The sequence below is a fragment of the Homo sapiens genome, chromosome 10 (genome assembly GCF_000001405.40).
Source record: "Homo sapiens chromosome 10, GRCh38.p14 Primary Assembly".
Lineage (NCBI taxonomy): Eukaryota > Metazoa > Chordata > Mammalia > Primates > Hominidae > Homo > Homo sapiens.
In genome coordinates this window covers 68,635,476-68,662,402 of record NC_000010.11, presented here as the reverse complement: position 1 = coordinate 68,662,402, position 26,927 = coordinate 68,635,476, and the positions used below count along the sequence as shown (strand labels likewise).

At 41.6% G+C, this 26,927-nt stretch overlaps 1 protein-coding gene across 19 annotated transcripts in view; it reads right to left on the bottom strand.

Annotated features, from left to right (window-relative positions):
* The window catches only part of TET1 (tet methylcytosine dioxygenase 1), a 134,151-nt gene that overhangs the window by 32,085 nt on the left and 75,139 nt on the right, over positions 1-26,927 (bottom strand). For 10 of the 19 annotated variants that reach the window (NM_001406365.1, NM_030625.3, XM_011540206.3 and 7 more), the window contains 3 exons: positions 15,398-17,705; positions 10,467-10,557; positions 9,809-9,902 (listed from right to left, as the gene is read on the bottom strand). The exons of 2 other annotated variants lie outside the window; for them this stretch is intronic. In NM_001406365.1, coding sequence (NP_001393294.1) covers positions 9,809-9,902; positions 10,467-10,557; positions 15,398-17,705 — 2,493 coding nt within the window. Of the gene's footprint in view, positions 1-9,808; positions 9,903-10,464; positions 10,558-14,065; positions 14,249-15,397; positions 17,706-25,629; positions 25,788-26,927 lie in introns of those variants that run through there. 7 more of the 19 variants (XR_001747211.2, XR_001747212.2, NM_001406375.1 and 4 more) reach the window with 5 other exon arrangements.

Sequence of the window (26,927 nt, the reverse complement as noted above, 5' to 3'; positions counted from 1 at the left end):
ATCATGATGTCAACTTTCACCTTAGATGTACAATGACAAAAATTATCACTCTTAGCTTAGTATTTTGTTTCTATTTTTTTGACTATTAACAACAGGCTGGGTACGGTAGCTCATGCCTGTAATCTCAGTAATTTGGGAGGTCAAGGCGGGTGGATCACTTGAGGTCAGGAGTTCGAGACTGGCCTGGCCAACATGGTGAAATCCCGCCTCTACTAAAAATACAAAAATTAGGGCAGGGCACAGTGGTTCAAGCCTGTCCCAGCAATTTGTGAGGCCAGGGCAGGCAGACCACCTGAGTTCAGGAGTTTGAGACCAGCATGGCCAACATGGTGAAACCCTGTCTCTATTAAAAATACAAAAGTTAGACGAGTGTGGTGGTGCAACTTGTAGTTCCAGCTACTGGGGAGGCTGACGCATGAGAATCGCTTGAACCACAGAGGTTGCAGTGAGCTGAAATCGTGCTGCTGCACTCTAGCCTGGGAGGCAACAGTGAAACTCCATCTCACAAAAAAAAAAAAAAAAGAAAAAAAATTTTTTTTAAATTAAAAAACCCACAATACTTGGTTTTTTGTGTGTGTGTGTGTTTTTTTAACAAAGAAAAGAAAAGAAAAAAGTTCTGGCTGGGCATGGTGGCTCATGCCTGTAACCCCAACACATTGAGAGGCCAAGGTAGGAGGATTTCTTGAGCCCAGGAGTTAAAGACCAGCCTGGGCAATGAAATGAGACCCCGTCTCTACAACAAACCCCAGAAAACTAGCTGGCATGGTGGTGAGTGCCTATGGTTTCAGCTCCTTGGGAGGCTGAGGAAGGAGGATTGCTTGAGCCTGGGTCAAGGCTGCAGTGAGTTGCGCCACTGTACTTTTAGCCTGGGTGACAGAGCAAGACCCTGTCTCAAAAAACAGAAAATTTTCACAGCCTAACTCTTAGTTTGAGTATACCCAAACTGCTAAAAATTATAATCTCTAAGCACAGGATAAAATTGTAATGGCTTTTAAAATTTGAAATATATCTATAATGTGTATATATAATTTTTAAATTTAAAAACTAATATTAGAGGCTGGGTGCAGTGGCTCATGCCTGTAATCCTAGCACTTTGGGAGGCCGAGGCGGGCGGATCACGAGGTCAGGAGATCGAGAACATCCTGGCTAACATGGTGAAACCCCGTCTCTACTAAAACTACAAAAAAAAAAAAAAAAAAAAAAAAATTAGCCAGGCGCAGTGGCAGGCGCCTGTAGTCCCAGCTACTCGGGAGGCTGAGGCAGGAGAATGGCGTGAACCCGGGAGGCGGAGCTTGCAGTGAGCCGAGATCGCACCACTGCACTCCAGCCTGGGCGACAGAGCAAGACTCTGTCTCAAAAAAAACAAAAACAAAAACAAAAAACAACTAATATTAGAAGGAGCAAGATTACACAATTAAAAAAAATTTTAAGGTTTAAAACGGCTAGCGCGGTGGCACACGCATGTAATCCCAACACTTTGGGAGGCCGAGGCGGGTGGATCACCTGAAGTCAGGAATTCGAGACCAGCATGGCCAACATGGTGAAACCCCATGTCTACTAAAAATACAAAAAAAATTAGTCGAGCTTGGTGGTGGGCACCTGTAATACCATCTACTTGGGAGGCTGAGGCAGGACAATCCCTAGAACCTGGGAGGCAGAGGTTTCAGTGGGCTGAGATCGCGTCATTGCACTCCAGCCTGGGCGACAAGAGTGAAACTCTGTCTCAAAAAAGTAATAATAGTTTTTTAAAAAGTAAAAAAAAAAAAAAATTGGCCAGGCACACCTGTAATCCCAGCACTTTGGGAGGCCAAGGCAGGCAGATCACCTGAGGTCAGGAGTTTGAGACTAGCCTGGCCAACATGGTGAAACCCCATCCCTACTAAAAAATACAAAAATTAGCTGGGCTTGGCTGGGGGACACCTGTAATCCCAGGTACTTAGCAGGCTGAGACAGGAGAATCGCTTGAAACCAGGAGATGGTGGTCGCAGTAAGCCCAGATTGTGCCATTGCACTCCAGCCTGGGCAACAAGAGTGAAATTCCATCTCAAAAAAAAAAAAAGAAGAAGAAGAAGAAAAGAAAAAAGTAAAAAAAAGTTAAATTAAATTAAAAACCAAACTAAGCGGAAGTATCCAAGCTGTAAATTATAATTTTTTTAAAAGATTATTTTTTTAAAGCAAAAAATAAGTCCCTGTAACACAATCTTATTTGTAAGGTTTCCAAAGGGAATAGGGTGATTCGTCAGTGCACAAATGATCTGGGCAGCATACAAATTCCAGATCAGATTCAGATCTGGGAGCAACATTCATGTCAAGTGTAGCGGGTATCTTTCCAAAGAAGGGTCATTTTGAGTTTCATCAATAATCATGTAAGAGACAAAGTAGAGTAAATTTTTCAAAACAAAATTATAGTGGCCAACTCCTCCAAAATGTCACCAGTTAACATCATTTAAAGCTATCTACATATTACAAGAAAATGAGACTTTTACAATACAATTCCACCTTTGTAAAGGGATTAATGACTGAGTTCACACAACGGGGTTCTGAAGTTTTGGTAATGTCTTGATCTGGCCACTGGTCACATAGGTATGTTCACTTTGTACAATTTCACTGGGCTGTACCTTATGGTATGTATACTTTTCTGTGTGTATATTATACTTGAATTAAAATTTCCTTAAAAAATGAACTCTATAAGCAAGTAAACAAACTAACATAAAAAGAGTACTAATGGTACTTTAGCAGACAATAAGCTTAAGTAAAGAAAAACATGTAAGTCAGTTTAATATTGGCCGGGCGCGGTGGCTCATGCCTGTAATCACAGCACTTTGGGAGGCCAAGGTGGGTGGATCACTTAAGGTCAGGAGTTCGAGACCAGCCTGGGTAACATGGTGAAACCCCACCTCTACTAAAAATACAAAAATTAGCTGAGCATGGTGGCACACGCCTGTAATCCCAGCTACTCGAGAGGCTGAGGCTGGAGAATGGCTTGAACCTGGGAGGCAAAGGGCCAAGATCACACTACTGTACTCCACCCTGGGCAACAGAGCAAGACTTCATCTCCAAAGAAAAAAAAATCACTTGTAGGTATTCATTGCCACATCTGCTCTATTGACTAATACACAATCGCACAGAGGGGAACTCATCATATGATGCCCAATGTGAAGCACTCAGGCATTGGGGCCAATGAGGCCATCCACTGTTTGACTTCTTCTACCTACTTCTGCCATTACCCCAGAAGCTCAAGAGGGGAAGTATACAAAGAGTTATACTCCTGCCTCAGCCTCCTGAGTAGCTGGGATTACAGGCTTATGCCACCACGCCCGGCTAATTTTGTATTTTTAGCAAAGATGGGATTTCACCACGTTGGCCAGCCTGGTCTTGAACTCCTGGTCTCAAGTGATCTGCCTGCATCAGCCTCCCAAAGTGCTGGGTTTACAGGCATGAGCCACCACGCTGGCCAGCTGGGAAATTCTTAAATGTGATTTACTCACGACATCCAGCTAATTTTTAAAATACTATTTTTTTTTGTTTTTTTCTTGAGACAGGGTCTCATGCTATCACCCAGGCTGGAGGGCAGTGGCACAATCTCAGTTCACTGCAGCCTCTGCCTCCTAGGTTCAAGTGATTCTCCTTGAACATCTAAGGTGCATCTAAGAAACTACATTACCCTTTTCTTCAAAATCTACTGAAGAACAAGATAACTTGTTTCTGACAAGATCCAAAGTGACAGCAGAGAAAAAGAGTCAAAAATCTCTGCCAAAGACTATAATTATGTGAGAGTTTTAATGACCACCTGGCAAGGAAACATTTCAAGAGAAGAATAAAACGGTGTTGCGAACATAGGCAAAACAACATAAGAATGGCTAAGAAAGTGGTGCTGGCCAGTTAGAATTTGCTGTTAGACTTTTTGTGTGTGATCATTAAAAAGAGAAGCAATAGATCTCTCTTCCAAGCAAAGAAGACAAGAGGGCTGTCGCGGTGGCTCACGCCTGTAATCCCAGCACTTTGGGAGGTGGAGGAGGGTGGATTACTTGAGGTCAGGAGTTTGAGACCAGCCTGGGCAACATGGTGAAGGCTGAGGCAGGAAAATCACTTGAATCTGGGAGGCAGAGGTTGCAGTGAGCCGAGATTGTGCCACTGCACTCAAGCCTGGGCAACAGAGCAAGATTCAAAAAAAAGAAGACAAGAGAAACACAACTTAAAAAAAAGGTGAGGGGGCAGTTTAGGACAGAACTTTAATACTATTAACAAACCTAAGCATATACATGGAGATTTTAAAAAATGAAATCATGAAACGATGCTTGATATAGATTAATGTTTTATAACAAATACACAAAAAAGGTACACTATCCAAGATGAAAAGTAAATTTGGAGCAATGTAATTCACTGGCTGTATGTGTATATTCGATTTCTTAGTTCAAAATTTTTGACCTTCATTTCCTCCCTCACCCACGTATAATCCACCCAATTGCACTAGTGTCATTCAAAATAACCTCATGATAAAGTTCTACAAACTATGTAGAATACAGACAAATTAATTCTTTTTTAAAATTGTTTTAAAATTTTTCCCACCTTCCTTCATGGACATTTTTTAATTCCAATTTTCATTCAACCTCTACCTAAAGTTTAAGCGTGGGGTGGACAACTCCAGCAGATTCCCAGCTCTAATCCTCAGTTTCTCATGCCTCAGAATATAGCTAATAATGAATACCATAGCCATACTATTTCAAGATACCAATTCAAATTCAAGATACTCAACTTTCTTTTCTCTCTGTAGGCAGGGCTCATTCCGTTACTCAGGCTAGAGTGTAGTGGCCCAATAATGGCTCACTGCAACCTCCTCTTCCTATGCTCAAGCAATCGTCCAGCCTCCAGAGTAGCTGGGACCACAGGTGCACACCACCACAGTTGGCTAATTTAAAAAATTTTTGGCCGGGCGTGGTGGCTTACGCCTGTAATCCCCGCACTTTGGGAGGCTGAGGTGGGCGGATCACGAGGTCGGGAGATCGAGACCATCCTGGCTAACACGGCGAAACCCCGTCTCTACTAAAAATACGAAAAATTAGCCAGTTGTGGTGGCAGGCGCCTGTAGTCCTAGCTACTCGGGAGGCTGAGGCAGGAGAATGGCGTGAACTTGGGAGGTGGAGCTTGCAGTGAGCCGAGATCACGCCACTGCACTCCAGCCTGGGCGACAGAGCGAGGCTCCCTCTCAAAAAAAAAGAAAAAAAATTTTTTTTGTAGAGTCTCACTATGTTGTCCAAGCTGGTCTCCAACTACTGGGCTCCAGTGGTCCTCCCGCCTCAGCCTCCCAAAGTGCTGGGATTACAGATATACAGAAATGAGCCACCGCACCCAAATGGGAAATTTTTTTTTTTTTTTTTGGAGCTAGACTCTGGATGTTGCACAGGCTGGAGTGCCGTGGCACCATCTTGGCTGACGGCAACCTCCGCCTCCTGGGTTCAAGTGATTCTCGTGCCTCAGCCTCCTGAGTAGCTGGGACTATAGGCACGTGCCACCATGTCTGGCTAATTTTTTGTATTTTACTAGAGACGGAGTTTCACCGTATTGTCCAGGATGGTCTCAAATTCCTGAGCTCAGGTGATCCACCCGCCTCGACCTCCCAAAGTGCTGGGATTACAGGCGTGAGCCACCTCACCCAGCCCTAAAATACATTTTCTAAATAGCCATATTTAAGCTCCATATTCATTCACTCAACACAAATTTATTGAGTGCTAATTCTAGGCTCGGCATTGCTCTCTGCAAAAGCAGTAAGTGATATGAATATTTTAAGTAAGATAACCTGGAAAGTTTGGAAAAATAAAGTTTGACTAACATTACGATTTTTCTGACATAAAATCTGTTAAAAAATCTATTTTAGCACTTTGGGAGGCTGAGGTGGGCAGATCATGAGGTTAGGAGATCAAGACCATCCTGGCTAATGCAGTGAAACCACGTCTCTACTAAAAATACAAAAAATTAGCCAGGTGTGGTGGCAGGCGCCTGTAGTCCCAGCTACTCAGGAGGCTGAGGCAGGAGAATGGTGTGAACCCAGGAGGCGGAGCTTGCAGTGAGCCGAGATTGAGCCACTGCACTCCAGCCTGGGCAACAGCCAGAGTCTGTCATTTCATGGAAGACAATTTTTCCACAGAGGTGGGGCCAGGGGCAGAGGTTTTGGGATGATTCGAGTACGTTACATTTATTGTGCACTTTATTTCTATTATTATTACATTGTAATATATAATAAAGTAATTATACAACTCATCATAATAAAGAATCAGTGGGAGCCCTGAGCTTGTTTTCCTAAAACTAGACGGTCCCATCTGGGGGTGAGGTGGGACAGTGACAGATCATCAAGCATCAGATTCTCATAAGGAGAGCACAACCTACATCCCTTGAATGTACAGTTGACAACAGGGTTTGCAGTCCTATGAGAGTCTAATCCCACTGCTGATCTGACAGAAGGCAGAGCTCAGGTGGTAATACTAGCAATGAGGAGTGGCTGTAAATACAGATGAAGCTTCACTTGCTCTCCTGCCACTCACCTTCTGCCATGAAGTCAGGTTCCTATTGGCCCATGGCTCAGGGGTTGGAGTCCCCTGGGTTAGTGCACTCTAGCCCAGGCAACACAGACAGATATCCAAAACAAATAAAATTTCGCTAGGGAAAAATACTAATAGAAAGTTGTTACCGAAATCTTTAAGCTACAGCATTTATATTTGCCTTCTTAAGGAAAACAAAAACAAAAACAAAAAAACTATACACTACAATTCTTTATATCACTGTCATTATTATTATATTAGAAAAGGTTTTAAAGAGAGGAAAAAGAAATCATCCCAATCCCACCAATAAGCCTAGTTACATTTCTCTCTTTTGGACTCACTGTAGGAGAAGCCAGCTGCCACAACATGAGGACATATTCATTCCTTACCACTTAATAGACAAAGGAGTGAACAATTCAGAAATAGCTAACAGATATAGCTCAATAAATTGGTAACAACTATCAGCGCCAGATATTGGGAACCAATTGTGTGATTTATTTCAAATATACAAGGTACTATGGATAGGCCAGACACAAAAGAACAAAACAAAATAAAACTATACTGTTTGAGAAATATATAAGTAGCAGGGAAAGGTGGAAAGCAAGAAAATTATTACCACAAAGCCAGGTTGGGAGATTTATAACTGGGGCTTCTGAGAATCTAGTTTATTTTCTTTGTTTCTTTCTTTAAACAAACAAAAGAGATGTGGGGTCTTGCTATGTTGCTCAGGCTGGAGTGCAGTGGCTGGCTATGGATTCACAGGAGCCACCATAGTACACTGTGACCTTGAACTCCTGGCCTCAACCTCTTGAGGTGATGAAAGAAAGACACTGTAGTTTCCTTCTTGCTCTCTTTTGATTCACTCACTCTGGGGGAAACCAAGCTGCTGTGTTATGAAAACATTTAAGATGAGGAGGAACTGAGGCCTCCAGCCAACAGCCATCAAAGAGCTAAGGCCTCCTGTAAGGGAGCTTGGAAGTGGGTCTTCCAGCTGCACCACTCTCCCCCAGTCAAGTTTTCAGATGATTGCATCCTCATAGGAGCCTATGTCAGAAGCACCACTTGGATTCCTAACCCACAAAAACTGCAGGAGATAATACCTGTTTGTTATTCAAACATGAAGGCCTTCATGTTACTCATGGGCTAAAACCTCAGCTCCTCACTATGGCCTACAAAATCATTCACCTTTTTACCCCCACCTGGTTCTATTAATTATCTCCTTAATTTCGTTTTTCATTTTTGTTTTTTTTGAGACGGAGTCTCACTCTGTCTCCCAGGCTGGAGTGCAGAGGCACGATCTAGGCCCACTGCAACCTCCACCTCGGGGGTTCAAGCAATTCTCCTGCCTCAGCCTCCCGAGTAGCTGGGACTATAGGCTCGCGCCACCACGCCCGGCTAATTTTTTCTATTTTTAGTAGAGACGGGGTTTCACCATGTTAGCCAGGATAGGCTCGATCTCCTGACCTCTGGTGATCTGCCCCACTCGGCCTCCCATAGTGCTGGGATTACAGGCGTGAGCCACTGCGCCTGGCCTATCCCCTTAATTTCAACTGACTCTGCTTAGATTTTTTTTACTGGACTCTTATTTCTAAACCCAAGACCTTTGTTCTTGCTGTTTTCTCTGCTTAGGAATGCTACTTCCTGCTTATCCTCTGCCTACTTAGCTCTTTTTTGTTTTTTGTCACTCCTTTCTCAGCTTAAATGTTCCCTCCCCCGAAAGGCATTCCCTGACAATCCATGCTTTTTTTTTTTTTTTTTTTGGAGACATTTTTGCTCTTGTTGCCCAGGCTGGAGTGCAGTGGCCCGATCTTGGCTCACTACAACCTCTGCCTCCTGGGTTCAAGTGATTCTCCTGCCTCAGCCTCCCAAGTAGCTGGGACTACAGGTGCCCATCACCATGCCCAGCTAATTTATGTATTTTTAGTAGAGACGGGGTTTCACCATGTTGGCCAGGCTGATTTTGAACTCCTGACCTCTGGTGATCTGCCCACCTCGGCCTCCCAAAGTGTTAGGATTACAGGCGTGAGCCACCGTGCTGGGCCGACAACCCACACTTAATGGGAAAACCCTGGAAAGATCCCCATGGGAAGAGAGAAACAAAGTAAGGAGACCATCGTTACTAAAGCAATATAAAATTAGAGTTAGTCTGTTGGACTAACTGTATTAGAGGATACACAAGAGAAATATGTACAAAAACAAGAAACATGTAAATTCTCCCTTAAATTCTACCTTAAAATGGTTCTAAAGGACAAAAGAAGGCATATGTAAATGTAAAGATGCAATATGTAGAATAGGAAGACTGAACATGAAATATATGTAAATTCTCCAAATTCTGTTAACATGATTCCAATAAAATTACCAGTAGGATTTTATTCTTGTAATGAAACGTGGTGTTTATATACTAATATGATAAAATAAACCAGAATAGTCAGACCACTTTTGAAAAATTAAAAGGAATTAGCCTATCAGACATGGAAACATTATAAAATCTAAATAATTAGAGCAATCTCATGCTGATTAAAGACAGTGATTTAACACAATAGGGAATTCTCACATATAAACAAATACACATCAATAATGAAGAGATGTACAATTAAATGAGTGGTGTTGGATAACTGAGTAGCCATCTGGAGAAGTGTACATAGCTACCAATATTCTAAACCAGGATAAATATAAAATACTTCATTATAGAAAAAATAAAATCATTAAAATACTACAAAAGAAAATGAAAGATTTATAACCTACAAGTGGTAAAGATTTTTCTAATTAAGATAAAATACCCTAAAGCTATAAAAGATGAAAAAGCTGATTACAGTCAAAAAAAAAATCTAACTGGTAAAACCACAACAAACTGAGAAAATATATTTGCAACTTTCATCACAAATGGCCAATTTACTTAAAAATCTATTAAAAAATCTGGCCCAGTACAGTAGCTCACGCCTGTAATCCCAGCACTTTAGGGGACTGAGGCGGGAGGATCACTTGAGCTCTCCACTAAAAAAAAAAAAAAAAAAAAAAAAATTAGCCGGGTTTGGTGGCAAGTCTTAAGTACTTGGAGGCTAAGGTGGAAAGATTGCTTGAGCCTGGGAGATCAAGGCTGCAGTGAGGTGTGATTGCACCACTGCAATCCAGCCGGGGCGACAAAGCCTGTCTCAAAAATTAAATAAATAAATGAATAAATAAAATAAAGATCACTCTGGCTATTGTAAATGTATAAATATCAGCTCTGGAATAACAAGCTTCAAAAAAATGTATAAATAGGAAATACTTACCCACTTAGCAATTGGACACCCATGAGAGCTTTTCCCTTCTTTACCGGTGTACACTACTATTTCTATCCTTATTGCGTTTCCTTTTTGACCATACCTGAGTATAAAACACAGTGAAGGGAATGTACTAATTAATTGCAATCTGTACTTGAAGGCTTTGGCTTTGAACATCTTAATGTATATAAGATATAGATGTACAGAAGTTCAAAAATTAGACACTCTTCGTAATTTACTCTTGTTAAACATTTGCTTTTGTGTGGCAGGTATTTTAATTTGTTAACCAGTCCTACTCACTTATCCTCAAAGATCACTCTTTAAAAAATAGGCTGAGTGCCAGACAAGCAATGGGAATGTAGGGTATGCAGTGTCAAGGGTGGTAATTTGACCTATTTCTACCATTATGCGATATATAAAAAGTACTTCTGAGTTTATCAAAGACAACTAGTCTTGCTTTGTGGGTGCTTTTATGTGCCCAACAGCTTGTATGATGGGTGGCTCAGTAGGGACACGAGGACACCCCTCTTTTGTTGGGCCCTAAGAAACATCCAACTCATACTCCTGATCATTTTTCAATCACGGCGTTTGTTCTTAGAGATGATTTATCTCCGTTGAGTCAGATCCACAGTAAGAATGATTTTAACAGGGAAGCGTATTTCCTCACCTATTCTCCATGATTTCCCTGACAGCAGCAACACTTGGTCCTGCCCCAAGGTGTGTATAATATGGGCCTTTGTCTTTTTGTATAACTCGATCTGTGGAAGGAATAAGATTATTAGACCCAAAGCTTTACAGAATTGCATAGGGGACAGGAGAAGCTACTTTTATACTTTTTGTTCCCCCTCAATTCAGAACCATGAATCTTGACAAGGTTTTGGTAAGATTTGATAATTAAAGGCAAGGACAACAGCCCATGAAATTTAACTTTTAATGTTCCTTTCTTCCTGCCCCTAACGAATTCTTTCTTCCTCTGAAAATCAGAGGAGAAAAAAAATATTTTAAGATGTGGGTCATATTTATACTCCTATCTCCTGCTTAAAAAAAAAATCTGTATTAATTGAGGTGTAATACTAAAAGTTATCCAAGAACAATAAATGTTAAAGGTTGCCCTTAGAATCCTATTAAAATTGAGCAATCCCCTTTTTTTTTTGAGACAGAGTCTTGCTCTGTCGCCCAGGCTGGAGTGCAGTGGCGCGATCTCGGCTCACTGCAAGCTCCGCCTCCCGGGTTCACACCATTCTGCCTCAGCCTCCCAAGTAGCTGGGACTATAGGCACCCGCCACCACGCCCGGCTAATTTTTTTTTTGTATTTTTTAGTAGAGACGGGGTTTCACCATGTTAGCCAGGATGGTCTCAATCTCCTGACCTTGTGCCTCCCAAAGTGCTGGGAAAATTGAGCAATTTCATTGCAGACAATTTATTCTACTATACATTTGCACAATTACAAAAGAATGTTCCTTGTTACAATTATTTGTAATATCAAAAAGAGAGCAAAACACTCAACATCTGTCAATAACATGTGGTTTAAATAAATTATGGGATGTTTATATAGTGGTATACAATAAATCTATTGAAACAATAATATTTATAAAACATTTAGACATCCACAATATCATTATATTAAAAAACCAAGTAGAAAGATTGTTTTAAATTTTTGTAAAAATGGAAACAAAATTAAAATCAATAATGTTCTTTTGTATAGAATGGGAGTATAGGAAGATGTTTGCGTCGTATTTCTGCACCACTTGAATTTTTGTGAGCATGAATTTTATGTTTCTTAAAAAATGCTATTTTTAACTTGGCCCCTTAGACTCATGTGTAGTAAGAATTACTGGGGAATTTCTGCGTTTCATGAATTTCTAGCCATGGTATACCTACACCAAAAAGTCATTTTCACTGGATGTCAAATACTAGGGGAATTACTTCTGTGGCTTCCTTTTTCACCTTTATTTTTTATTATTATTTTTTTGAGATGGCGTTTCACTCTTGTTGCCCAGGCTGGAGCACAGTGATGAGATCTTGGCTCACTGCAATCTTCGCCTCCTGGGTTCAAGCGATTCTCCTGTCTCAGCCTCCCAAGTAGCTGGGATTACAGGCATGCACCACCATGCCTGGCTAATTTTGTACTTTTAGCTTCACCATGTTGGCCAGGCTGGTCTCGAACTCCTGACCTCAGGTGACCCACCCGCCTCCCCCTCCCAAAGTGCTGGGATTACAGGTGTGAGTCACGGCACCCAGCCTACTTCTGTGGCTTCTTAAGTAAGATACACTTGATAGATTTTATCTTATTCTTAGTGATCTACAGCACTGATTCTGAACCAGGGGAATGTTGCCGCTAAGGGGACTCATGGAAATACCTGGAGACATTTTTGGTCGTGACAATTTGGCAGTTATGTGTGTGCATTACTACTGGCATCTAGTGGGTGGAAGATAGAGATGCTGCTAAACATCCCACAATGCACAGGACAGCTCCCCACAACAAAGAATTACGAAGGATAAAACACCAATACTGCTCAGTTTGAGGAATCCTAATCTAGAGATTATTTTGCTAGAACATAATTCCACCATGGAAATTCTTTACCCTCAGATATGGATGGTACTACTTGGGATGATTTGATAAAAAGTGACTGGGTAAGTAACTTTTTGTTTCTCTGTCTTTAAGTGCCTTTTTCTACACAATGAGCACAATAAACTTACATGTAATGATTTACTAATGACATGTTAGTGACAGTAGATAAAACAGCTGAGTCCCCTGCAGGTATTTATTCAACTTTGAATGCCTGGCTGTCTATTCCTATATGCTGTGACTAGTTATTTTGCATAAGGAAAGGGTCTTCAAACTAGACAATCATCCTTTTAGAACCATGCACATAGAAAAAGTAGTCTAGCTCAGGTATATAAACTTTAAAGGCACGTGTTTGTTGAACTACAGGCCTTATTTCCATTTGTAAGGATATTTAGAAAAGTGTTCTCTCCCTTTTTTTTTTTTTTTTTTGAGACAGAGTCTCGCTGTGTCATCCAGGCTGGAGTGCAGTGGCGTGATCTCGGCTCACTACAAGCTCTGCCTCCCAGTTCACGCCATTCTCCTGCCTCAGCCTCCCAAGTAGCTGGGACTACAGGCACCTGCCACCATGCCCGGCTAATTTTTTGTATTTTTTAGTAGAGACGGGGTTTCACCGTGTTAGCCAGGATGGTCTCATCTCCTGACCTCGTGATCTGCCCGCCTCGGCCTCCCAAAGTGCTGGGATTACAGGCGTGAGCCACTGCACCCAGCCGAAAAGTGTTCTCTCTTTTATAATTCACCTTTATTAAGCACCAGAGTGTTCGTTATAAGGATAGGTTCTGGAGTTGAGACTGCTGTCTCTGAGTCCCAGTTCAGTTACTGGATAGCTATGAAATTCTCTGTGCCTCAGTTTCTGCATTTGTATAATGGGGATAATAAACCCTCTCTTTGAAGAGCTTCTGTGAAAATAACAAGTCAAGGCAAGCACAATATCAGACTTGTAGTAAGATCTCCAGAATGGAAGCCATTATGATGATTACTTTCTTCTCTCCTTAATTCAAGAAACTTTTTCTCCCAATTCAACTCCACTCAGACAGCATTGTCACTCTTTCCAAATTGTGAGATTCTTCTCAGAACAGCCTATCCTTGATAACTGGCACATTGCAGTTTGTCAAAACTGTGTGTTAGCTGGTGTGGTGGTTCATGTCTGTAATCCCAGCACTTTAGGAAGCTGAGGCACGAGGATCACTTGAGCCCAGGAGTTCAAGACCAGTCTGAGTAACAAAGTGAGACCTCATATCCACAAACAAAACAAAAACCTAAAAAACACTGTGTATTGAACAATGAGCAGAGAAATGGAAGGATATTATTTCAGAACAACAAGTGTACTTTGGAAAGACAAGAATTCAATATTATTACTACACAACACTATATTTTCTACTGTTGTTAAAAAATCAGTGTGATATACTTAGCCTCCCTATGGAACCACCTGCTTCTAATAAAAACATCACCTTTGGTCAAGGCAAATCTTGAGTCTTTGTGATTTGGAGCCATATTTTAAGTAAGACTTCCAATAACTAAACCTATTTGGATGAGGTTCAAAACAGATTTTTCACAAAATTTATTCTAACATAGTTGTATGGTAAACAAAGTAATGGGGCTTCAAGCAGCCTAACGAACTTTAATGACACAATCTATTGAATTTCCCTATTTTTTTACAGCTATATTAGAGTCAACAGGTTTCTTAGAAGAGTGCTTACCTGAAATTTGGCCATAGACAGTAACTAATCAGTACAGGATTCAAATTAAGCTTTCACATGTTTCAAATACTGAGGAAATTTCTCATAAGGTCTGCCTGAGAATCTTTACCCAGCAAGATTTTCTCAGGGCTTTTAACACACTAATAAAACTAATTGGTTCAGAATGTTCTCTTTCAATGACTCCTAAGGCACAAAAATGTAGAAATACATTGGTTAGGGATCAGTCCATGAGTCAGCTATTAGCACATGACTCATGTTAGCACACTGGTTATTCTTTGATTTTTTGAAATAGGAAATCAGGATTAAACAAATTTGTTAAAATATGTTAAAATTCAGAAAGGCTTATGAATTCTTCAAGTGGCCAAGATTATGGAATTTCTTTATACATAAGTACACTTTGTATTGCAGAGAAATAGAAATATATTATTCCAGAATATCAAGTGCTCTTTGGACAAAAAAAGACAGTATTAGATCTTGTACTGGACAGAGCGTAAAAGCACTAGACACTGAAAAAGACATAAACCAGCTTCAATTCTAGAGTAGGACGGCAACTGCCAGCTATATATTTCTTAACTGTTAACTTATACATATGTTTTACATTCTCTATATGTATCTTCTATCTCACACACACAAAAATATAATGAAAGGCTTGTAAGTTGAAATTTTTTTGAATATAGGAAGAATAAACAAACTGTAATAAACTATTAAGTTATTTCTTTCTTTCTTTTTTTTTTAAGACAGGGTCTTGCTCTGTTGCCCAAGCTGGAGGGGAGTGGCACAATCTTGGCTCACTGTAACCTCCACCTCCCAGGTTCAAGTGATTCTCCTGCCTCAGCCAACCGAGTAGCTGGGATTGCAGGCGTGCACCACCATGCTCAACTAATTTTTGAATTTTAAGTAAATACAGGGTTTCACCATGTTGGCCAGGCTAGTATCAAACTCTTGACCTCAAGTGATCCATCTGACTCGGCCTCCCAAAATGTTGGGATTACAGGCAAGAGCCATTGCGCCTGGCCTACGAAATTCATTCTTATGCTACGCACGATAAATTGACAGACATTCAACATTGAGAGATATATCAGCCTATTTTTCCACTTGAGCGGGTTTACCTTTTCCAAGTTTGTTTTTCCAAATTATGAGCTGAATTTTCCATTCTTGTGGCAGAACCAAAAGTTCCCACAGAAAAATGGTTATAGATTTACTTAATCCATCTTAGTTAGAATAAGAATGGGGAAAAAATATCACACAAAAAAGATGAATCAGAATTTGCTTCAGTCATGATTGAGGTAATTTGTGCAGGTGAAATAAGAACACATGCACACAAGTACTCACCAAGACAGCTGCAGGTGGGCAGTTCAGAATCTTTAGTTATAGACACTAGGTTTTTTGTAGGGTTAGTAAAGAAGTTCATGGCATAATCATTAAAATTTTTCTGTGCACTGTCCACTGTGGAAAATTCTGATGTTCCAAAACTGGATGAACAGACTTCCTCTTCACTTTTGGTAGAAACCACTGTAATTCCACCTGAACACACTACATTTACATTCCTGAGAGTTAGTGCTGACTCCGGTAAGGGTGTTTCATGAGAGATACCAGGCAATGTTGGCAGTCTCTGATGCATGAGTTGCTCCTTAACAACCTGCTGAAACCGTATTTGGTCATCGCCTGCCATCACGTTAGCACACTGGTTAGGTGGAGAGGAGGGCTGGGTCAAAGGATGGGCTTTCTGATTGGCATTCACCGTTAACTGTACCTGAGAATTATAAGCTTTATCAGTGAATGCCTTCCCGTTGGATTCCGTTTTAAGATGAAATAAGCTGAGTGAATCCAATGGTTCAACCTTCACCTTTTCCTCTGCTGATTCAGGATATCTCTGTAATTTTATCTGAGTGAGTGGTGGAAATACTGTTTTGGGTTGCATAATGGACCTCGTTTGAGCCAGTGGTTTCCATATTTTGGTCGAGGAAGAAATTTTCCCAAATACAGTAGGAAAATCATGTGGACAAAATTGCCCAAAATTTTGAAATTTCGATGCTATCCAAATGTCGCATATTGTGCCATACATATAGGACAACTTTTCCCACTTCTGCCGATCATTTTCTTGATAACTTACAACTGTGGGCTTCTTTTTCCGCCGATCTCTTGATGGGGTGGATTTTGTCTTTTTCTGGGTTGGGTTCTTTTGTTTTGTTAATGATGAACCATGATTATTGTGTACACTTGAAGGTGGTTTCTGTTGTATTGTGCCCTTCTCCTGATTGTATTTTTGCTGTACATTACATGTGACAAGGCTTGTTGGTGTACTTTCAACTTTTTTGTCCTCTGGTTTTATATAATTGATCTTAATTATCGAAGCAAGTTGTGTCAACTGTGTTGCAACATCTTCCTCAATTTGGGTATGGGTTGCATCCTGACATGATAGATCATCTGAGTCCAATTTTTTGCTGCTGTCCAGTAACTGGTTGCAATACTCCACTTCATTATTTCTTGGTGGCAACTGATGCAAATCATTGGAACAATTGTCAAGAGTAATTATCCCTTGAGCAATACTTTTATTGGTGTCAATCTTGGATGAATTTGATTTTGGTATAAAAAGAGATAATGAATTTGTGACTTTTGAATATTCATGTGACTTTGTGGATGCTTGGTTAGTAGCTGAGTTGATATGTGAGTTGGAAAGGGTAGTAGTTTGCCCATTGAAAACCACCGTGTTGCATGAACTTTGTTTTTCCAAAGATGGACAGTGATTAAGTTTTGGTGGCTCTCCCTGTAAGTTTGGGTCTTGGAGGTCTTTTCTTACAGTGTAGAGGATAGCTTTGCAGCTATTAAGCAAACTGGCTGTTCTCTGCTCTGATTCCTCATCCTTCTCTGACTTTGATGGGGAGGAATTCTCTGATGGGGCTTCTGAGAGTTGAGTCAGGGCCTCTATGGCTACCACTTGCTCCAATGTTAATCTCCTATCTTTCATTAACGATAAGAGACTTGGTTGAACGGGAGATCCATCTTTTGGTTCTTTACTTGGTATATTCTCAGGAGTTTTTGGTTGATCACCTTCATTGTGTATACTAGCATGATGATTTATGATGGAGTGTGAAGAATGTGGAATGGAACTGCAGTTAAAGCCAGGCTGCTGGAATACTAAAACGTTACTTCTCCCCTTGAGATGATCACAACTCATATCAGTAGCAACAGAGCTCATAGCGTTTTTATGGTTTGCAGTGTCTTTTAGGAATTTATAAGAATTGTTTTCCAATGTCTTGCCGAATTCTTCAATATTGAATTTTTTAAATGAAACATTTGTTTCAGCTGGTAAACAGTGTACATGTTTAATGCCATTTCTTACGGTTTGTACAAACAATTTTGGAGATTTGGTTCGTTTCTTGTCAACTTCAGAGTTTTTCGATTTTTCAGCTTCTGGGACATTAGCACTAAAATCTCCTTTCACGTGATCAGTTAACTGTGATTTCTTGTTTTGTGTCCACTTCTCCACCTCGATGCCTGTCATGCTGTCTTCATTTTTAGTTACATTTTCAACAGTATGTGGGTTCAATTCCAATTTTTGTTCTTCCCCATGACCACATCTACTGTAGTCCATGGATTCTGACTTGGGGCCATTTACTGGTTTGTTGTCAAAATCTGCCTGTAAAATACAGAAATTACTTATGTCATCTACTTAAATATCTGAATAACAGCCATAGAAGATTAAAATTTAATAACAACTAAATGTAAAGCCCCTGTGGATACAGCCTAAAATATTATTTTTGCTTTTCACACATTCAGCGAAGTCATAAAATACCAAAAGGACATAATATACAAAAAGAAAAGACAACTAGGCTAGGCATAGTGACTCACACCTGTAATCGCAGCACTTTGGGAGGACAAGATGGGAGGATCGCTTGAGCCCAGGAATTCAAGACCAGCCTGAGCAAGATGGTGAAACCCAGTCTCTACCAAAAATACAAAAAAAATTAGTCAGGTGTGGTGATGCACACCTGCGGCCCCAGCTACCCGGGAGGCTGATGGTGACAGCATCGCTTCAGCACAGGAGGTGGAGGTTCCAATGAGCCAGGACTGTGCTACTATACTCCAGCCTGGGTGACAAAGTGAGACCTCTTCTCCAAGAAACAAAATCAAAGGCCAGGGGTGGTGGCTCATGCCTGTAATCCTAGCACTTTGGGAGGCCAAGGTGGGCGGATCACAAGGTCAGGAGTTCAAGACCAGCATGGCCAATATGGTGAAACCCTGTCTCTACTAAAAATACAAAAATTAGCAGGACGTGGTGGTGCACACCTGTAATCCCAGCTACTTGGGAGGCAGAAGCACAAGAATCGCTTGAACCCGGGAGGCAGAGGTTGCAGTGGGCCAAGATCATGCCACTGTACTCCAGCCTGGGTGACTGAGTGAGACTCTGTCTCAAAAAAAATAAAAAATAAAAAAATAAACTACTTTTACATCGGTAGTGTTCATTAGGCAATATCTATTTTATTTATTTTTTATTTTATGTTTTAAATAATTTATTTTTTTTCAGACGGGGTCTTGCTGTGTTGCCCAGGCTGGAGTGCAGTTGTGTGATCTCAGATCACTGCAACCTCTGCCTCCCGGGTTCGAGCAATTTTCCTCCTCAGCCTCCCAAGTAGCTGGGATTACAGCCACCACACTCAGCTAATTTTTGTATTTTTAATAGAGATGGGGTTTCACAATGTTGGCCAGGCTGGTCTTGGACTCCTGACCTCTGGTGATCTGCCCGCCTCAGCCTCCCAAAGTGCTGGCATTACAGGTGTGAGCCACCGTGCACAGCCATACCTATTATTTTGATACAAACTGTTTTCAAGTAGAACATACACATAGAAAGGTGTACAAATCATAAGTATATAGCTTGTTAAGTTTTCACAAAATGAGCTGTTAAGTATACTTGTAGTCCATTCTCACTGTATAGTAAGTTCACTGATTAAATACATAACAATGTTATTTTTTCTGCTGGACATGGGCATTGTGTTATTTTTAGTGTTTGGGTCTTTAGAGTAACTGCTATAGTTTCAATTTCTTTCTTTCTTTCATTTTTTTTTTTTTTTTTTTGAGACAGGGTCTCACTCTGTCACCCAGGCTGGAGTGCAGTGGTACAATCACAGTTCACCGTGGCTTCAACCTCCCAGGCTTAGATGATCCTCCCAAGCTCAGCCTCCCGAGTAGCTGGGACCACAGGCACATACCACCATGCCTGGCTAATTTTTTTGTATTTGTTGTAGAGACAGGATATCACCATGTTGCCCAGGCTGGTCTCAAAACTCCTGGATTCAAGTGGTCTGCTCACCTTGACCTCCCAAAGTACTGGGGTTACAGACACGAGCCGCTGCACCCAACCTAATTTTTCTTATTGAGATGAATTTACATGACATGAAATCCATCACTTTACAGTTGCAAAGTGTACAATACAGCTGGGTACAGTAGCGCATACCTGTAATCCTAGCACTTTGGGAGGCCTAGACAAGCAGATCACCTGAGATCAGGAGTTCAAGACCAGCCTGCCCAACAGGGCAAAACCCCGTATCTACTAAAAATACAAAAATTAGCTGGGCGTGGTGGAGGGTGCCTGTAATCCCAGCTACTCAGGAGGCTGAGGCAGGAGAATCGCTTGAACCCGGGAGGCAGAGGTTGCAGTGAGCCAAGATTGTGCTGCTACACTCCACCTTAGGCAATAGGAGTGAAACTCCATCTCAAAAAAAAAAGAAGAAAAGTGTACAATTCAGTGGTTTTTAGTTTATTTGTACTGTTGTACAACATAGCCATTCTCTACTTCCAGAGCATTTTCAAAACCCCAAAGAGAAATGCTGTGCCCTGTTTAAGCAATCACTCCCTATTTCCTCCTCTAATCCTTATTTATCTACTTTATTTTCTTTTTTTTTTGAGACAAGGTCTCACTCTGTTCCCCAGGCTGGAGTGCAGTGGCACGATAACGGCTCACTGTAGCCTCGAACTCCCAGGTTCAAGTTATCCTTCCATCTCACCCTTCTGAGTAGCTGGGTCTACAGGCGCCTGTAACCACAACTGGTTAATTTATATTTTTCCTATTTTTTGTAGAGACAGGGTCTCTCTATGTTGCCAAGCCTGATTTTGAAGTGCTGGACTGAAGCAAGTCTCCTGCCTCAGCTCTAGAGAAGCTGGGACTACAGACTAATTTTGTAAAACCTTGAAACAGCTCATCAGACATACCACAGGAATCGAGACAGTGGAGTGTTCCCATTGATACCAATTGTAAAAAGAATGATAACTCCAATTACACAGTGTATACACATTTGAAAACTTCATGTTGTACATGATAAATATACACAATATTTATTTGTAAATTTAGTAAAAGAATAAATGAAAAAACAAAGAGCCGCATGCAGTGGCATGAACCTGTAGTCCTACCTACTGGGGAGGCTGAAGCCAGAGGATCCCTTGAGACTTGGAGTTCAAGGCTGCAGTGAGATACTATTATGCCACTGTTCCCCAGCCAGGTTAAAAGAATGAGACATCGTCTCAATAAATAAATAAATAGGCCAGGTGCGGTGGCTCATGCCTGTAATCCCAGCACTTTGGGAGGCAAACGTGAGCGGATCACGAGGTCAGGAGATCGAGACCATCTTGACCAATATGGTGAAACCCTGTCTCTACCAAAATACAAAAAAAAAATTAGCCGGGCAGGGTGGCGTACGCCTGTAGTCCCAGGTACTCGAGAAGCTGAGGTAGGGGAATCGCTTGAACCCGGGAGGCGGAGACTGCAGTGAGCCGAGATCGTGCCACTGCACTCCAGCCTGAGAGTCTGTCTTAAAAAAAAATAAACAAATAAAATAAAATTAAATAAATAAATAAATAAATAAATAAATGGTAACCTCCTGGGAATAGGAGACCACTAGACTAGGTTGCCTAAGGAGATGTGAACTGGCCTAGGTCACAAACATAGAAATTCAAAACTATAACTGATCAGTGGTGGAATCACTGCACTCCAGCCTGAGCAACAAAGTGACACCCTGCCTCTCAGGCAGGAGAATCGCTTGAACCCAGGAGGTAGAGGTTGCAGTGAGCCGAGATCGTGCCATTACACTCTAGCCTGGGCAACAAGAGCAAAACTCCAACTCAAAAAGAAAAAAAAGAATAAAAATGTCTAAGATTAAACAGATTATCATGTTGCCAAAAGACACATTGTTTACACCAAGGTTCGGCGAACTTTTCTGTAAAGGGTCAGATAGTAAATATTTTAGGCTTCATGTGCCATACAACCTGTCACAGTTACTCCTGTTGTATCTAGTAAGCAGCCTCAAAAATAATATGCAAACTAATGAGTGTAGTAGTATTGCAATAAGACTATGGACACTAAAATGCGACCATCATATAAATATTACATAAATATTTTTATTTACATAATATCATTACATAAAAATCATATAAATATTGTATAAATATTACATGTCACATACATACACAAGAGATGTAAGAAAAATAATATTTAGGCTGGGTGGTGGCTCACACCTGTAATCCCAGCACTTTGGGAGGCCAAGGCGGGCAGATCACGAGGTCAGGAGATAGAGACCATCCTGGCTAACATGGTGAAATCCCATCTCTACTAAAATACAAAAAAATTAGCCGGGTGTGGTGGCAGGCGCCTGTAGTCCCAGCTACTTGGGAGGCTGAGGCAGGAGAATGGCGTGAACCTGGGAAGCGGAGCCTGCAGTGAGCCTAGATAGCGCCACTGCACTCCAGCCTGGGCGACAGAACAAGACTCCATCTCAAAAAAAAAAAAAAAAAAAAAAAAAGAAAGAAAGAAAGAAAAAGAATATTTAGGCCAAGCACAGTGGCTCACGAGTTCAGGAGATCAAGACCAGCCTGGCCAAGATGGTGAAACCCCATCTCTACTAAAAATAAAAAAATTAGCTGGACACGGTGGCAGGCGCCTATAATCCCAGCAACTCGGAAGGCTGAGGCAGGAGAATCACTTGAACCTGGCGGGCAGAGGTTGCAGTGAGCCGAGATTGAGCCACTGCACTCCAGCCTGGGCGACAGAGTGAGACTCCCTCTCAGAAAAAAAAAAAAATTTAAGGTAGAGAAAGTCTTCCGCTATAAAATAAATGACAGACAGGGCATGTCAGCTTCCGCCTGTAATCCCAGCACTTTGGGAGGTCGAGGCAGGCGGATCACCTGAGGTCAGGAGTTCAAGACCAGCCTGACCAACATGGTGAAACCCCGGTTCTACTAAAAAGACAAAAATTACCTGGCGAGGTGACACATGCCTGTAATTCCAGCTACTCGGATGGCTAAAGCATGAAAATCGCTTGAACTCGGGAGGAGGAGGTTGCAGTGAGCCGAGATAGCACCACTCCACTCCAGCCTGGGCGACAGGGCGAGCCTCCATCTTAAAAAAATAAAAAGTTACTAGTGTTTAACACTAATAGGATTGCAGAAAGAGGAGTCTCATTTTTTGACTTGGTACTTTTAATTTTACAGATGTGCATATCCAAGAACACTGAGAATTTCAGTGTATGTATTTCTCTATAGGAAAGATCTTGAGGTCCTTCTAAGATTTATGTACAGAAAGGGCGGGGCATGGTGGCTCACGCCTGTATTCCCAGCACTTTGGAAGGCCGTGGCAGGCAGACTTGACTCCAGCATGCTTGAAGTTTGAAACCAGCCTGGGTGACATAGTGAAACTCGGTCTCTACTAAAAATTAGCCAAGCGTGGTGGTGCACGCCTATAGTCCCATCTACTTGGGAGGCTGAAGCGGGAGGATCACGTGAACCTGGGAGGCACAGGTTCCAGTGAGCCCAGTGTGAACCACTGCACTGCAGCCTGGGCGAGAGACCCTGTCTAAAATAATAATAATAATAATAATAATAGTAGTAGTAGTAGTAGTAGTAATAATAATAGTAATAGTAATCTTTGAGACGGAGTCTTGCTCTGTCACCCGAGCTGGAGTGCAGTGGCAAGATCTCAGCTCACTGCAACCTCCGTCTCCCAGCTTCAAGTGATTCTCCCGCCTCAGCCACCTGAGTAGCTGGGATTACAGGCTCACAGGACCACACCCAACTAAATTTTGTATTTTTAGTAGGGACTGGGTTTTGCCATGTTGGCCAGGCTGGTCTCGCACTCCTGACCTCACTACACTCTAGCCTGAGCAACAGAGTGAAACTCTGTCTTAAAAGAAAAAAAAAAGAAAGAAAGAAAAGAAAATCTTCATAAGACATTCACATTAATTAATGAGCTTAATTAAGAACCCTTGAACTTTTTTATTAGTTATATTTCATATCACTTTTAAAAATTATCCTAAGACGAGAACTTGCTCTGGGACCATCCTACCCACCCTGAAGCAAGAATAATGTTGAACTCCTTAGATCAAGTCTGGGTCTAGTAGTTCCTACGCCCTCTCCATTTTCTCATTTTTCCAGATTCCCATTGTCTTGATAATCTTATACCCAGTCTAAAGGAGCAATGTGGTGTTTTATTCTGAAATGACTGAGTCATTTGAACAGAATCTGACTATAGCCCCTCCACCACACACACACACACACACACACACACACACACACACACACACACAAACTCCATACATGCAGTATTTCCTGTATCAAGAAACAGCTACTCCAAAAACAACAACAACCCATAAAGAAACAGCTACTCAAATCATATAGAAAAATAAAGCCTTTCGAAGTCTGTTCATTGACATGGTCAAGTAAGACCTTTACTAGAGGTAGCTCAGGGTTTGTCAACTGTTTTTCATCTTCACCAATAACCATTCCCTCCAGGCTTTTTTAGACATTTTTTTCCCTAATAACCCTCTCCGTGAAATTTTAATACCACGGACATACCATTTGGGTACTGTGACCCAATTGTAATGTCTCAGATTGTCCTCCACTCACCAACATCCAATTTTCATTTCTCTTGAGAATGCATAAAGTAAATATATCAAATTGTTGAGGAAAGACCAAATTATTAACAAAGTATTATGTGAAACACTACAATGGGCAGACCACAAAGTATTTGTCTAATCAGAAATGACACTGTCAGGACCTATGCTGTCAGCCTGAAAACTGAGTGTTTTTGGAAAAAACTCAGAGACAACCACTGGTGCCTTCATAATGTTGACTTTAAGATACTGTATTCACTTCCTCCCACTGACACTACTAAGAAGTATAGAGGTCAGGCCCTGTTCTGCAACCAACCACCATACAGTGCCCAGTACCACTGGCCATTTAATTAAACCAAATTTAAATAAAAAGAAAAGATTGGCTGGTCATGGTGGCTCACGCCTGTAATCCCAACAGTTTGGAAGCTGCAGTGAGTGGGTCACTTGAGGTAAGGAGTTCAAGACCAGCCTGGCCAACATGGCAAAACCCTGGCTCTACGAAAACTACAAAAATTAGCCAGGCGAGGTGGCACATGCCTGTAATCCCAGCTACTTTGGAGGCTGAGGTACTAGAATCTTTTTTTTTTTTTTGAGACGGAGTCTCACTCTGTCACCCATGCTGGAGTGTAGTGGCGCCATCTTGGCTCACTGCAACCATCTCCCAGGTTCAAGTGATTCTCCTGCCTCAGCCTCCTGAGTAGCTAGAATTACAGGTGTGCCCTACCACACTGGGCTAATTTTTGTATTTTTACTAGAGACGGGGTTTGCCATGTTGGCCTCCCAAAATGCTGGGATTACAGGGTGTGAGCCACTGTGCCCGACCACGAGATCTCTTGAACCTGGAAGGCAGAGGTTGCAGTAAGCCAAGATGGCACCACAGCACTCCAGCCTGAGGGCGAGAGAATGAGGCTCTGTCTCTTAAAAAAAAAAAAAAAAAAAAAGAATAGGAAACAACTGGCTACCCACCAAAGATTCACCTAAGGAGAAATCTAAAATGAACATTTAAGGCAAAAGCAACAAAAATCTCTTCAAAGAAGACCTGTACAACAGTTTTTCCCAAAGTTTTTCCAACAACCTTATTTTCCCAAAGAAGTGAAATGAACTAATTTGACTAGTTCAGAATTTCAGCCATCAATTTATTTTTCTTTTTTTAGGGATAAAAAGAAAGCTGGCCAGGAGCAGTGAATCATGCCTATAATCCCAGAACTTTGGGAGGCCGAATCACCAGAGGTCAGGAGTTCGAGACCAGCCTGACCAACACAGTGAAAACCCATCTCTACTAAAAACACAAAAATTAGCGGAACATGGTGGCACGTGCCTGTAATCCCAGCTACTTGGGAGGCTGAGGCAGGAGAATCACTTGAACCCGGAAGGCGGAGGTTGCAGTGAGCCGAAATTGCACCACTGCACTCCAGCCTGGGTGACAGAGCAAGACTCTGTCACACACACTCACACACACACACACACACACACACACAACGAGTAAAATAATAGAAAACAAAAGTCAGCTGCTAAACCAAGTGTCGAATACCTAATATTCTTGGAGCTTTGCCTCTGATCCGTTTCCCTACTGACTACAGCCATCAGCTGAGAGATTCGAAGTCCACAGAAAGTCAGGGTCAAAGAAAGTGCTGCCCCAAAAGTGGATCTGAGAAACTGTGTGACCCTAGACTCCACTCTCCTTACCTTGGTGATGTAGGGCCTCATGGCTCTTCCATATCTAGGCTGGATGGGAGCCACAGCAGAGGCTTCAGAAGTTTCCAGAATCTCTTCACTAGAGCCAGGCTTCTTTCCTTTTCACTTTATCACCGAGGCTGTAGTGCAGTAAGAGGATCACAGCTCACTACAGTCTCGATCTCTCAGGCTCAAGGGATCCCCTGAAGCTCAGCTACTTTTGCTTTTGTAGAGACAAGGTCTCACTCTGTTGCCCAGGCTAGTAGTGTCAAATTCCTGGGCTAAAGATATCCTCCTGCCTTGGCCTCCCAAAGTGCTGGGATTACTTTGATATTCTAATTTTCTCATTCCTACCCCAAACGAGAACTCCACCCTCATCTGTCCAGGGCTTCTTAGAACTCACAAGAAATCCTTTCAAATCAGGGCTGGAGTGAAGGGCAGAGGGGAAGTTGAGCAGGTTGTTAATTGAGGGAGGGATCAAAAACCTCTATTTAATTTTTTTTAACGTGCAAATTGAAGATTGGCTCCAAATGTGTAGCAAATCATGACTGACCTAAGAGTTAATGCTCTCTGTTCACAAGTATTCCTGGCTATCTTCCTTTTTCTTTGGGGCTATGAGCCAGTATAATTTATTCCCAAAGGAGGAAAAACCTTCTAAGACCACCCAATCTGCCTCAAACTGTCATTCTACCAATTTCCCTCCTTATTCAAATATCTTAAACTTCTACCAAATTATAATTGAATTATCAGTCAGATTCAATCATTTCTTAAATACCACAGACTTAACTTGCCATGACCCCTTAATGGTCTGGTTTGTAGACCTCCAAGGAGAATTTTCACTTAAAACTCTCTAAAATGTAGATCTTCCTTGAAGCTTCACTCTCACACCTCTTGGCCCCTTGATGAGCCTACTCCTAGAGGACTCTACTTTATTTTCACTTCGTTGTTTTGTTTTTGGTAGAGACTGAGTCTCGGTTTGTTGCCTAGGCTGGTCTGTAAACTTCTGAGCTCACGTGATCCGCCTGCCTCAGCCTCCCAAAAGGCTGGGATTACAGGCATATGCCACCTTGCCCAGGCCCTAGAGGACTCTAAAGCAAAACCTACTACCTTCTCATTCTTCACACTTACCATGAACAATCCCCCACCCATGCTTAAGGTTAATAACCAACTCTGGTGATTAGTGTATTATTCTTTTCAGTATCTTAGCTATTTTATATATTTTTAAGAACATGGGTTTGGCAGGAATCAAACAACAAACTTTGGAGCAGAGCTAGTAATAACATGTATTAAAGAAGTTCATTGTGAGGATT